The sequence below is a fragment of the Homo sapiens genome, chromosome 7 (genome assembly GCF_000001405.40).
Source record: "Homo sapiens chromosome 7, GRCh38.p14 Primary Assembly".
Classification (NCBI taxonomy): domain Eukaryota; kingdom Metazoa; phylum Chordata; class Mammalia; order Primates; family Hominidae; genus Homo; species Homo sapiens.
The window spans coordinates 50,503,923-50,517,149 of record NC_000007.14 but is presented as its reverse complement, the minus strand read 5'-3'; the positions used below and the strand labels follow the sequence as shown (position 1 = coordinate 50,517,149).

At 43.1% G+C, this 13,227-nt stretch overlaps 1 protein-coding gene across 10 annotated transcripts in view, besides 1 other annotated feature; it reads left to right on the top strand.

Moving 5' to 3' along the window:
• The window catches only part of DDC (dopa decarboxylase), a 106,964-nt gene that overhangs the window by 48,256 nt on the left and 45,481 nt on the right, over nucleotides 1-13,227 (top strand). For all 10 annotated transcript variants that reach the window (XM_005271745.5, NM_001082971.2, XM_047419932.1 and 7 more), the window contains one exon: nucleotides 13,091-13,157. In XM_005271745.5, coding sequence (XP_005271802.1) covers nucleotides 13,091-13,157 — 67 coding nt within the window. The remainder of the gene's footprint in view (nucleotides 1-13,090; nucleotides 13,158-13,227) is intronic.
• Nucleotides 2,929-3,563: an enhancer, noted in NCBI's record as "H3K27ac-H3K4me1 hESC enhancer chr7:50581285-50581919 (GRCh37/hg19 assembly coordinates)". NCBI's record gives its function as "activates a minimal SCP1, AML or CMV promoter by ChIP-STARR-seq in naive H9 embryonic stem cells {active_cell/tissue: H9 hESC(naive)}" and the evidence as "EXISTENCE:reporter gene assay evidence [ECO:0000049][PMID:30033119]".

The following is a 13,227-nucleotide window of genomic DNA, read 5'->3' as shown; positions in this document are numbered from 1 at the left end:
TCATCAAGGATATCTGTCTGTAGTTTTCTTTTTTGGTTATGTCCTTTCCTGGTTTTGGTGTTAGGGTGATTCTGACTTCATAGAATGAATTAGGGAGGGTTTTTCTTTATCTTCTGTAATAGTGTCAAAAGGATTGGTACCAATTCTTTGAATGTCTGGTAGAATTCTGCTGTGAATCTGTCTCGTCTTGGACTTTTTTTGTTGGTAATTTTTAAATTACCACTTCAATCTCACTGCTTGTTGTTGGTCTGTTGAGGGTATCTAATTCTTCCTGATTTAAGCTAGGAGGGTTGTATTTTTCCAGGAATTTCTCCATGTCTTAAGGGTTTTCTAGTTTATGTGCATAAATGTGCTCATAGTAGCCTTGAATGATCTTTTGTATTTCAGTGGTGTTACTTGTAATATCTCCTGTTTCGTTTCTTAGTGAGGTTATTTGGATTCTCTGTCTTCTTTTCTTGGTTAATCTTGCTAATGGTCTATCAATTTTATTTAACTTTTCAAAGAAATCAGCTTTTTGTTTCATTTATCTTTTGTATTTTTTTTTTGTTTCAATTTCATTTAGTTCTGCTCTGATCTTGGTTATTTCCTTTCTTCTGCTGAGTTTGGGTTTCATTTTTTTCTTGTTTCTCTAGTTCCTTGAGGTGTGTCCTTAGAATGTCAGTTTGTGCTCTTTCAGTCTTTTCAATGAGGTGTTTAGGGCTATAAATTTTCCTCTTAGCATCCCCTTTGCTGTATCCCAGAGGTTTTGGTAGGTTGTGTCGTTACTGTTGTTCTGTTTGAAGAATTTTTAAATTTCCATCTTGATTTTGTTTTTGAGCCAGTGCTCATTCAGGTGCAGTTTATTTAATTTCCATGTATTTGCATGGTTTTGAAAGTTCCTCTTGGAGATAATTTCCAGTTTTATTCCACTGTGGTCTGAGAGAGTGCCTGATATAATTTCAGTTTTCTTAAGTTTATTGATGTTTGTTTTATGGCCTATTATATGGTCTATCTTGGAGAAAGTTCCATGCGCTGTTGAACGGAATGTGTATTCTGTGGTTGTTGGATGAAATATTCTGTATATACCTGTTAAGTCCATTTGTTCCAGGATATAGTTTAAATCCATTGTTTCTTTGTTGACTTTCTGTCTTGATGACCTGTCTAGTGCTGTCAGTGGAGTACTAAAGTCTCCCACTATTATTGTGTTGCTGTCTATCTCATTTCTTAGGTCTAGTAGTAATTGTTTGATCAATTTGGGAACTCTAGTAATAGGCACATATATATGTAGGATTACAATATTTTCCTGTTGGACAATGCCTTTTACCATTATATAACGTCCCTCTTTGTCTCTTACAACTGCTGTTGCCTTAAAGTTTGTTTTGTCTGATATAAGAATAGCTACCCCTGCTTACTTTTGGTGTCCATTTGCATGAAATGCCTTTTTCCACCCCTTAAGTTTATGTGAGTCCTTATGCGTTAGGTGAATCTCCTGAAGGCAGCAGATGGTTGGTGAGTTATTATCCATTCTGTGGATCTGTATCTTTTAGGTGGAGCATTTAGGTCATTTACATTCAATTTTGGTATTGAAATATGAGGTACCCTTGCATTCATCATGCTCTTTGTTGCCTGTGTACTTTTTTTGTTTGTTTGTTTTTTGTTTTTGCTTTTTAACTTGTATTTTTGCTTTATAGGTCCTGTGTCATTTATGCTTTAAAGAGGTTCTATTTTGATGTGTTTCCAGGATTTGTTTTAAGATTTAGAGCTCCTTTTAGCAGTTCTTGTAGTGGTGGCTTGGTAATGGTGAATTCTCTCAGCATTTGTTTGTCTGAAAAGGACTGTATCTTTCCTTCATATATGATGCTTAGTTCAGCTGGATACAAAATTCTTGGCTGACAATTGTTTTGTTTGAGGAGGCTGAAGATAGGGTCCCAATCCCTTCTGGCTTGTAGGGTTTCTGCTGAGAAATCTGCTGTTAATCTGATAGGTTTTCTTTGTAGGTAACCTGGTGCTTCTGTCTCACAGCTTTTAAGATTCTTTCTTTCATCTTAACTTTGGATAGTCTGATGTGCCTAGGTGAAGATCTTTTTGCCATGAATTTCCTAAGGGTTGTTTGTGCTTCTTGTATTTGGATGGCTGGGTCTCTAGCCAGGTCGGGGAAATTTTCCTCAATTACTCCCCCAAATATGTTTTCCAACCTTTTAGAATTCTCTTCTTCCTCGGGAACACTGATTATTCTTAGGTTCAACATAATCCCAGACTTCTTGGAGGCTTTGTTCATATTTTCTTATTCTTTTTTCTTTATCTTTGTTGGATTGCGTTAATTCAAAGACCTTGTCTTCGAGCTCTGAATTTCTTTCTTCTACTTGTTCAATTCTATTGCTGAGACTTTCCAGAGCATTTCACATTTCTAAAAGTGTGTCCAAAGTTTCAAGCTCTGAATTTCTTTCTTCTACTTGTTCAATTCTATTGCTGAGACTTTCCAGAGCATTCCACATTTCTAAAAGTGTGTCCAAAGTTTCCTGAAGTTTTGATTGCTTTTTCTTTATGCATCTATTTCCTTGAATATTTCTCCTCTTACTTCTTGTATTGTTTTGTGGATTTTCTTGCATTGGGCTCTGCCTTTCTCTGGTGCTTCCCCGATTAGCTTAATAACTAACCTTCTGAATTATTTTTCAGGTAAATCAGGGATTTTTTCTTGGTTTGGATCCATTGCTGGTGAACTAGTGTGATTTTTTTGGGGGGTGTTGAAAAGCCATGTGTTGTCATATTACCGGGGTTGGTTTCCTGGTTCTTTCTCATTTGTGTAGGCTCTGTCAGGGGGAATATCTAGGGCTGAAGACTGTTGTTCAGATTCTTTTGTCCCACAGGGTGTTCCCTTGATGTAGTACTCTCCCCTTTTTCCTATGGATGTGGCTTCCTGTGAGCTGAACTGCAGTGATTGTTGTCTCTTTTCTGGGTCTGGCCACCCAGGCAGTCTACCCAGCTCTGGGCTGGTACCAGGGGTTATCTGCACAGAGTCCTTCAGTGTGAACTATTTATGGGTCTCTCAGCCATGGATACCAGCACCTGTTCTGGTGGAGGTGAGTTGGGGAGGGGGTGCAATGGACTCCGTGAGGGTTCTTAGCGTTGGTGGTTTAATGCTCTGATTTTGTGCTGGTTGGCCTTCTGCAGGAGGTAGTGCTTTCCAGAGAGCATCAGCTGTAGTAGTATGGAGAGGGCCCAGTGGTGGGCAGGGCCCTACAACTCCCAAGATTATATGCCCTTTGTCTTTCGCTACTAGGGTGGGTAGGGACCGACCACCAGGCGGGGGTGGGGCTAGGCATGTCTGGGCTCAGGCTTTCCTTGGGTGGGTCTTGCTGCGGCTGCTGTGGGGGATGGGGGTGAGAGTCCTAGGTCACTGGAGTTGTGTACCTAGGAGGATTATGGCTGCCTCTGCTGAGTCATGCAGGTTGTCAGAGAAGTAGGGAAAGCCAGCAGTCACAGCCCTCACCCAGCTCCCACACAAACCGAAGGGCCTGTCTCCCTCCCACCGTGCCCCTGCCAAGAGCCCCAAGTCTGTTTCTGGGCATGGGCGAGAGGGGCTTAAAAACTTGCCCCAGGCTACCTACTTCCCAGCTATGAAAGAAAAGGGCTTGGTTTTTCCCCTCCCTCTGGAGCCTGCACACCGGATTTGCACCGTCCCCGAGTTCTGGCCAGGAGGCTTCTCATCCGTTCGAACTGTTACAATGTTCAGCTGGAGATTTCCTTCTCCCTGTGAAGTTTTACCCACTGCTCCTCTGGCTGCCTTCCCAATGGATCCCTGTGGTGCCAGCAGGAATGACCTGCTTGGGAACCCAGTGAGTTCCCAGTGCCTTTCTGCTGCTTCCTCTACCCCTGTATTTTGCTCGACTGTCTAAATTGACTCAGATCCAGGTAAAGTCGGAAACTTCTCCCGCAACAGACCTTCACTTTCTCTAGTGGGGGTGTGTGTTCAGGAGAGGAGGGTCTCCCTTTCCCGCTTCTGCAGCTGGGGCACTCACAGTACTTAGGGTGCCTCCTGAGACCTGCAGGAGCATTTCACTTCCTTCACAGAGTCTGTGGGTCCTCTCGGGATTGCTGGTTTGTTCTTGCAGTCAACCTGGAGCTAAAATTCACAAATGTGAGCCTCCACACGCTGCTCTGTCCAGTGCTGCAATCTCAATCTAGTCCTGCCTCCCATATGCCATGATGATTGGCCTTAGGTATAAATGTAAGGTTCTTTCAGTTATTTTCTGAGCCTGTGTCTTTTCTGGGTATGTGTGATGACTTTCTAATTTCCCCTACATAGGTGTTAGTCTTTGAATATCCAAGTCTTCACACTGTCTGTATCCTTAAAAAGGGAAAAGAGGAAAATAAGGGGGGAAAAAGGCACTGGCCCTTTTTATCCCCCAGAAGTCACTTCAGTTGGATAAGGTGGGTCTTGCAGCAATGGGCAGGGTGTACAACAATGGCCACCACCTCTTTGCACCTGTGACTGGGATCAGTAATCAACAATCAACAATCAAAGTGCAGACTCCCAATATTTGGAGGACAGTTCCCTTTTTCTCACTTTGGCTCTTGCAAGCTCTGTGCAAGCTGCTCCAGGGACACATGCTCAGCTATGTGCCATGGGCCTGGGGGTGGTGGATGGGTAGGTACTACTGTACTAGAGCTAAAATTGACCAAAATTAACTGTATTTTCCTGTCCAACCCTTATATTGAAGTTGCAAGCCTTCAATAGACCCCAGAGTTTCAAAATAATTGCATCAAACAGATTCTGCCAGTAGGTAAAAGTTTTGTTTAGCTGGGAGACAGATTTCCTGGTGCTTCCTACTCCTTCATCTCCTCTTTACCCTATATCTGTAATGCTCTTTTTTATCCCTGACAATTTTCTTTAACAATTTTCTTGATCCACTTTGTCTAAAATTAATATAGCTATTCCAGCTTTATTTTCATTGGTGTTAGCATGGTATATTTTTCTACATCGCTATACCTTTAATCTGTATCTTGACATTTAAAGTGCATTTCTTATACAGAAAATATAGTTGGGTCTTGTTTTCTTACCCATTCTGACAGTCTGTGTGCTTTATTTTATTTTTAATTATTTTAATTTTAATTTTTTATTTCAATAGGCTTTTGTGGAATAGGTGGTGTTTGGTTTTGTGGATAAGTTTTTTAGTGGTGATTTATGAGATTTTGGTGCACCCATTACCCTTTTCAATTAGTGCATTTAGACCATTGATATTTAAAATAATTATTGATGTAGTTGGATAAATATCTACAATATTTATTACCTTTTCCTATTTGCTGCTCTTATTCTTTGTTTCATTTTTGGTCTTCTATTCTTTGCCTTCTCTTGTTTTAACTGAGCATTTTATAGAATTCCATCTTTTCTTCTCTCTTAGTATGTGAATCAATTTTTTTTCTTTTTCTTTTTTTCTTTTTGAGATGGAGTCTCGCTCTGTCGCCCAGGCTGGAGTGCAGTGGCGCGATCTTGGCTCACTGCAACCTCTGCCTCCCAGATTCAAGCAATTCTCCTGCCCCAGCCTCCCAAGTAGCTGGGACTACAGGCGTGTGCCACCATGCCTGGCTAATTTTTTTGTATTTTTAGTAGAGACACGGTTTCACCGTGTTAGCCGGGATGGCCTCAATCTCCTGACCTTGTGATCTGCCTGCCTCGGCCTCCCAAAGTGTTGGCCAGGCTAGTCTCGAAATCCTGACCTCAAGTGATCCATCTGCCTTGGCCTCCCAAAGTGTTGGGGTTACAAGCATGAGCCACCATGCCTAGTCAGATTTTCTTTCTTTACATCAAATATTACAAGCATTTTTTTCAGGTCATTATATATATTATATAAAAGTATAATTTTGTTAAAAAAAGTCGCATAGTACTCTATTATATCTCTATCTTTCCCAGCTATCTCTCTCATATATACATATATGTACACACATACATATAACATAAATAAATATAAATGTAATTTATTTAATAGGAATTCACATATATGTACATATATGTATGTATTTGTATTTTATGTATTCATAAAATTCATATTTTATGAACTCCTATTAAATAAATTATATATTATTTTGTGTGTGTGTGTGTGTGTGTGTGTGTGTGTGTATAGATATATCCTAATATCCTAGCAATAAGCTAGTGTTAAACAGTTGAGTTTTTTTTTTTTTTTTTTTTTTTGAGACAGAGTCTCGCTCTTTCGCCCAGGCCGGAGTGCAGTGGCGCTATCTCGGCTCACTGCAAACTCCACCTCCCAGGTTCATGCCATCCTCCTGCCTCAGCCTCCTGAGTAGCTGGGACTACAGGCGCCCACCACCGCGCCCAGCTAATTTTTTGTATTTTTAGTAGAGACGGGGTTTTACCGTGTTAGCCAGGATGGTCTCGATCTCCTGACCTCGTGATCCGCCCGCCTTGGCCTCCCAAAGTGCTGTGATTACAGGCGTGAGCCACCGTGCCCTGCCATCTTACTTACATTTTTTTTTTTTTTTTTTTGAGATGGAGTCTCACTCTGTCACCCAGGCTGGAGTGCAGTGATGTGATCTCAGCTCACTGCAACCACTGCTACTTAGGTTCAAGTGATTCTCCTGCCTCAGCCTCCCAAATAGCTAGAATTACAGATGTGCACCACCACACCTGGCTAATTTTTGTATTTTTGGTAGAGATGAGGTTTCACCATGTTGGTCAGACTGGTCTTAAACTCCTGACCTCAAGTGATCTGCCAGCCTTGGCCTCCCAAAGTGCTGGGATTATAGGCATAAGCCACAGCACCCGGCCTACTTACATTCTTTCTTGTAGTAATTGGTGCACTTAAAAATTTTATTCATTTACTTATTTACTTATCTATAATAGCTTATGTAAACAAAGTAAATAAGTAAGATACATAAGTGGCCAGGTGCGGTGGCTCACACCTGTAATCTCAGCACTTTGGGAGGCCAAGGTGGGCGGATCATGAGGTCAGGAGATCGAGACCATCCTGGCTAACACGGTGAAACCCCTTCTCTACTGAAAATACAAAAACAAAATTAGCCGGGCATGGTGGCAGTCACCTGTAGTCCCAGCTACTTGGGAAGCTGAGATGAGAGAATGGCCTGAACCCCGGGAGGCGGAGCTTGCAGTGAGCTGAGATGGCACCACTTCACTCCAGCCTGGGCAGCAGAGTGAGACTCCGTCTCAAAAAAAAAAAGATACGTAAGTATCTTATATAAGTAAGATAAGTAAATGAGAAAATTTACTTATCAGAATTTCTTGGGAATGATTTATAGCCCTGAAATTACTTAATGAAAGAGATGGGTTTTTTTTCCCCAAGACTTTGATACATACTCTCACATTCTACTTCAAAAACATTGTACCAATTTATACCAAAAGTTTCTTTATAAAGAGTTATTAAACATAAAAGTCATGTTAAAATAGTGACTTCTACTGAAAGAAATGTAATGGTGAAATTGCTGGAAGTGCCAAGTAATACAGGCACTAAGAAATGACTCATTCATTCATTCATTCATTCATTTGCTAAGAGGAAGTAATTTACGATTTTCTTAGGAGTTTATTTACTAGAGTGTCTGTGGGTGAAATTCAGATTCCACTGGGCAAATGAGGAAATGAAAAATGTGGGAATGGATTCCTTTATAAAGAAGTTTGCCTGTGAAGGAAAGAAGAGTAAATAGTGCCATTGCTGGAGCAAGTTGGGCCGAGGGAGATGTGCTGAGAGAGAGATTTATCTGTGCATGTGAAGGAGCTGGTGGAGGAGGCAGAAGCACGAAAGAGAAGACTACACATTTCATTAAGAGAAACAAAATCAAATTTTATTTTCTTTGAGGAAGATGGAAGGACCAAATTAATATGCCTCTGTTGGAATTTTGCCCTAAAGACCAAAATTCCAGAACATTCTGCTGATAGAAGCCACAGATGTGGGCCAATTGTAGGTATCGGATCAGAGAGGAGAATCACTTTTTTGCCGTAGACTGCCCCATGCACCGGCACCGTACCAGCCCTGGAGGTGTGTGGCGAGCCATGGTCCCTTTCCTCATGGCATGGTTCTTGGTGGGGAAGACAGGTATGTTCCCATCTCCACGCCATTTGATGAGAACAATGCATATATACATGGGTAGAGGGCGCAAATAAACTTCCTAGAGGGGATTTGGAAAGCCTGTTGCTGAGAGAGAACACAGGAGCTGTGTCAGGGGATATCCAGGCAGGTACTTCTGGGCATGGTGCCTTTCTTGTTGGAGGGAAGAGGGCTGCAGCGTACAGAGATCAGAAAAGCACAGGACATTCCAGGAAATGCACCTTGTTTGTTGTCTTTAACTGGCAGCCAAAGGATTGTAAAGCTGGAGAGAGTCTGGGCCCTCATAGGAGAGGGGTTGGAGCCTGAGCCTTGTCTCACTGCCCAGCTGTGCCCTTGTGGTTATAACTGGGCATGTGCATAATGACTATATGCGTCCTTCTGGGATGTAGCCACATGGTCTTCATTATATTCTCAAAGGGGCTGTAGATCCCTTAAAATTGAAGACTTGCTGCTGAGGGCAAGGGGCACATTTGGCAGGGTTTGAACCAGAAAAGCTGAATCATTGCCCTTCCATGAACAGGCTTGGGGCTTGTAATAAAGTTTCCCCTTGTTTCTCAGGACAGCTTGCTTCCCTAATGAGCCAGCTTGATAAGGTCGGGCCACAGAGGGCGATGCCTGCGAGGCACTTACGTGAGCACAGAGGGCTAGTCGAAGGGGCAAGGATGCAGAAGAGAAGGTTGTGCTGGGCTCTGCCACTGCAGGAAGACTGTGGGCTCTTTGAGATGGAGGCCTGAACTGTCCCCTACCCCTCCTTCCCCCTGCACAAATGTGATTATGCCTCTGCAGAGCGCCTGGAATCAGGTTAGCGTCATTGAGCAATGCTGAGCTGGAGTAATCAGAGCCTGGAGCGGAGCAGGTGCTGGCTTTAAAGTGGCTTCTGAGAATTAGGACAGGCTGACTTGTAGCTCAGCCCCACGTAGACAAGCCACTTAGAACACTGTCCTTGCAGCCCCCAGGCCTCCTCCTTACCACAGCAAAGTGCTTGGGTTTGTTGGAGGGGCCTCTGGCATGGCCCAGGTGCTGAGCTCGTTAACTGATGTTCAGGGACTGGTGTCCCAGGGGTCCTGTTTGCCCAGCATGTGGCAGGACAACAAGAGCTAACCAAGCCTGGGGTCACATTTGGTCTGCTCCTGCCTATCTGGGTGTCCTGGGACAATTACCCACCTCTTGGAGCCTCACATAAGTCAACTGTAAAGTGGGAATCACGAGCATATCTAACTCATAAGGTGGTGGCAATTAAATATCATATAGGAAAGGCTGTCAGCATTAGGCCTGCTGCAGAGTTAGCCGCAAAGAACATCACCCCTATTCTCAACCTAGGCCACTGCCAGGACAAGGCCGGGTTTTATTGTTTCTGCAAAGATGTTTCATACTCAGAACAAAAAAAATCAGTAATTACATAAGAATCTAAGAATAAAGGTTTATGTTAACCAAAATCTTAAGAGAAATGCAGTATTACTGTTTGGTGAACATCACTCTAGATACTCTTCTATGCACACATTAATAGAGAGAAAATAATTTTAATAAGGGCACATTTAATAAATTTTTAATAATAGAAGTTATTGGCTGGGCATGGTGGCTCTCCCCAGTAATCCCAACACTTTGGGAGACCGAGGTGGGTGAATCACCTGAGGTCAGAAGTTAGAGACCAGCCTAGCCAACATGGTGAAACCCCGTCTCTACTAAAAATACAAAAAATTAGCTGGATGTGGTGCCTGTAATCCCAGCTACTCGGGAGACTGAGGCAGGAGAATCACTTGAACCCAGGAGGTGGAGGTTGCAGTGAGCTGAGATCGCACCACTGCACTCCAGCCTCGACAAAAAGAGTGAAACTCCATCTCAAAAAAAAAAAGTTATTGCATTTAGTTTAGTGTTTAACTGAAGAAAGTCAGATGAAACAGAAGGAATTGCTAAACTAGAGATATGTCATTTCTAAGATATGACTCTGGGAGTTGAGAAAATAAGTTTCAAGCAATATTAATATTGTTAAGTCATTCTTTTTCGCTATTCTCTTAAGGATAAAGATAAGGCATTCTAAGACTCTCATGCTCTACAAACTGAGTAGCCAGGTGTCTTAGACAAAGTGCTTTAACATTCAATTATATGTCAAGATGAAATTGCAAATAGCAGAGAAAAACAACACACTGACTTCAATTCCCACTAAATGACTTATCTTGCCAAAATGAAACAAATGCGGAGAATTATTGATGCTTGACATGAGGAGGGGACATCCAGAGGTTAAGAAAGGATGCTGACAGCACCAGGAGAAACATTGAGGTATGCAAGATGTTAGCCCGTTGGCACCTGATAGACCGGGCAGGTCTGTAAGTGCAATACGTTGCTTTGTAGGTAAGAAAAATAAAGCCCAGCCAGGTGCCAATGTGACATGGAGTTGGGCCTCCAGCCCAGGTCTCTGTGCCCCACATACATGGTTTAACTATCTGTATTCACTGTGCCTTTTTACTATCTGTGCTTCTGATGCTGTGACACCTTTGGGTCTTGCTGACCCTGGAGGGACTGCCCTTCTCAGGGAGAGGGGTTTCCTAGAGCTCTTAAAGGACTCACTTGCAAGTTCACCTTTCTTTTCTTTTCTTTTTTATTATAAGTTCTAGGGTACATGTGCACAACGTGCAGGTTTGTACATATGTATACATGTGCCAGGTTGGTGTGCTGCACCCATTAACTCGTCATTTACATTAGGTGTATCTCCTAATGCTATCCCTCCCCACTCCTGCCACCCCATGACAGGCCCCGGTGTGTGGAACTCAAACAAATTTGTAAAAAAAAAGCAAATTCACCTTTGAAATGCAAAATCATCAGTACAGAGCTCCTACCCCAGCATCTCCTCTGTGGGGCTCTCACACTCTGGGCTACTATCCTCCTGCCCTGACCACTCAAGGGCTAGGTACCAGACATCTAGGGACAGCCACTGCTCCAAATGTGACCTGGAGCAGACCAAATGCGACCCCAGAGCCCACTGAAATTATTCAAACCAGCCGATCCTAATCCTGCTCACCCTTGCCCTGCCTGGTTCTTCCTGTGGAAACCACAACACAGGCCCTTGCCGCTGTTTTTCCCCCACCCCTCTGCTGCCCAACTGATCCTCGTGCTTCCCCATGTCCCCCTCCCCTTGGGGACTGTGAGGAACAAGCTGTTTTTAATGGCAGTCATCTCCTGACTTGTTGGGCTCACCATCCTGAACAAGAAGAAAGCCTACATTTAAACAGACTGCCCCTCCTGCGCCTGAGGGTAGCCCCTTGGGGGACTGACTCCCTTGGGCATAGCTCAGTGACACAGAGAGCCCTTCCAGAGTCCAGCCAGGACCTGTTTTGGGCCCACGCCCCGGGGTTTGGCATGGAAAACTCTGGTCCCTGAGCAGGCATCGCTCTGTCTGAGAAGTACCTTGTCCAGCCCAGCCACCTGTGAGAGGAGCAGGGCAAAGCTGGTGAGACGAACCTTCTGCAGGCTGACTCTGTGCTACCTGGGCATGAACACTTTGTCTCTCTCTAAAAGGAAAAGTTGGTTTCCAGGTGAAATGCGAGGCAGTCATAGGTGAAATGGAGCCACAAAGGTCTCGAACTGGGGTTCTCACATACGAGTTTCTGACCTCTCTATCTTTATCCTCAGGACACATGGCATTGCTAAGACTTTACAGGGGGCTCAATAAAGGTCACACAAATTTAATTCTATTCCACACTCTTGTCGCATCTGCAAAGAAATTTCATTATCTAGACTGCATGACATCCATAAATCAATTAGGCCCTTTGGTTTTGTAAACATAATGTGCGTTTTGATCCTTTGGAGAGAGCTGTTTCAATTCAGCAATAGGTTTCAGCATCTATGCAATGTCCAGCAAAGTGCAAATGCTCAGCCCAACACAAAACAATGAGACAGGGTCCCTGGCTTTGGGAGCATCATGGGTCTGGAGGGAGAGACAGACATGTGTGTGGGGACAACACAGTCAGGCTGTGCCAGTGCGATCGTGGCACCACAAGGTCCTCAGAGCTCGGGAGAGGCCGCAGTGACTCCCAGCCCGTATTTTCTGGGTTGTGTGACTGACAGCACTCAATGCTTTCTCAGAACATCCCTTTTAAAATTATTTTCAATGTCAGCAGTGTTTTCTCATGACCTCCTGAGGATTTAATTAATCTTTGGGAACAGTATCATTCAGAAAGAGAAAGGCAGCGGATTAAAGCTGGTAAATGATACTCTTGCTCAAAATCCTAGTGTGACTCTTAACTGATGCCAAAGTCTGTTCTGAAAGAAGCATTCCATGAGTGCCTTGGGCAGTCTGGGCCCTGCTGGAGGGAGACTCATCTCTACTGCGCTTGCTCTGCTCTGTGCATTGCACATGGGTGTATGCACACACACACGTGCACACACACAGACACACACACACCCCCCCAAACTAGGAAAAAATCCCAGGCTTCTGCTCCATAGTAGTAACTATGTTCTTACATTCTCTATATATGTATATATATACACACACATATATATATAGAAAATAAAATATATACACTTGTGTATATTTTAATTATAACTTAATTATAAATTTAATTAGATTATAATTAAATTAAAATGTATATATGGAATATAAGAACATAGTTACACTAATGTTACATAGAACGTTAATTAAAATTTAACAAAAATATACACACATACATATATATGTATATTTAATAAAGTAGAATATAGTATATGTATATTTACTAAAGTAGAATATAGGTATCATTGTCCAGGTGGTAGATTGCTTCATGTCTGCCCCAAGGCACCCTGGAAAATCTTTTGCAACTTCCCGGTTTCTAACCTCAGAGCTTAGTTTTCTGTCTGCAAATCTGTTTCTCTTAACCTGTTATGATGCTTTCACCCAAAGATTCAATGTGCATCCATGGGCTTACGTTTCCATGTAGCAGACATTCATTGGGATCTCGGCTCATGGCCCCAGGTTGGACCATGGGGCAGCAGTTGCTTGTGTGGAGGTTACAGCGGTGACTGGCACCTGGGGAATAAAAGGCTGTCTGCTTTTTACCCTCTAGATGGTTGCCACCCTGGGGACCACAACATGCTGCTCCTTTGACAATCTCTTAGAAGTCGGTCCTATCTGTAAGTATCCGATTCCATTTTCTTTTTGGAAAATGTTCTCTGTACACGGGGAATTTAGCAAACCTTCCTC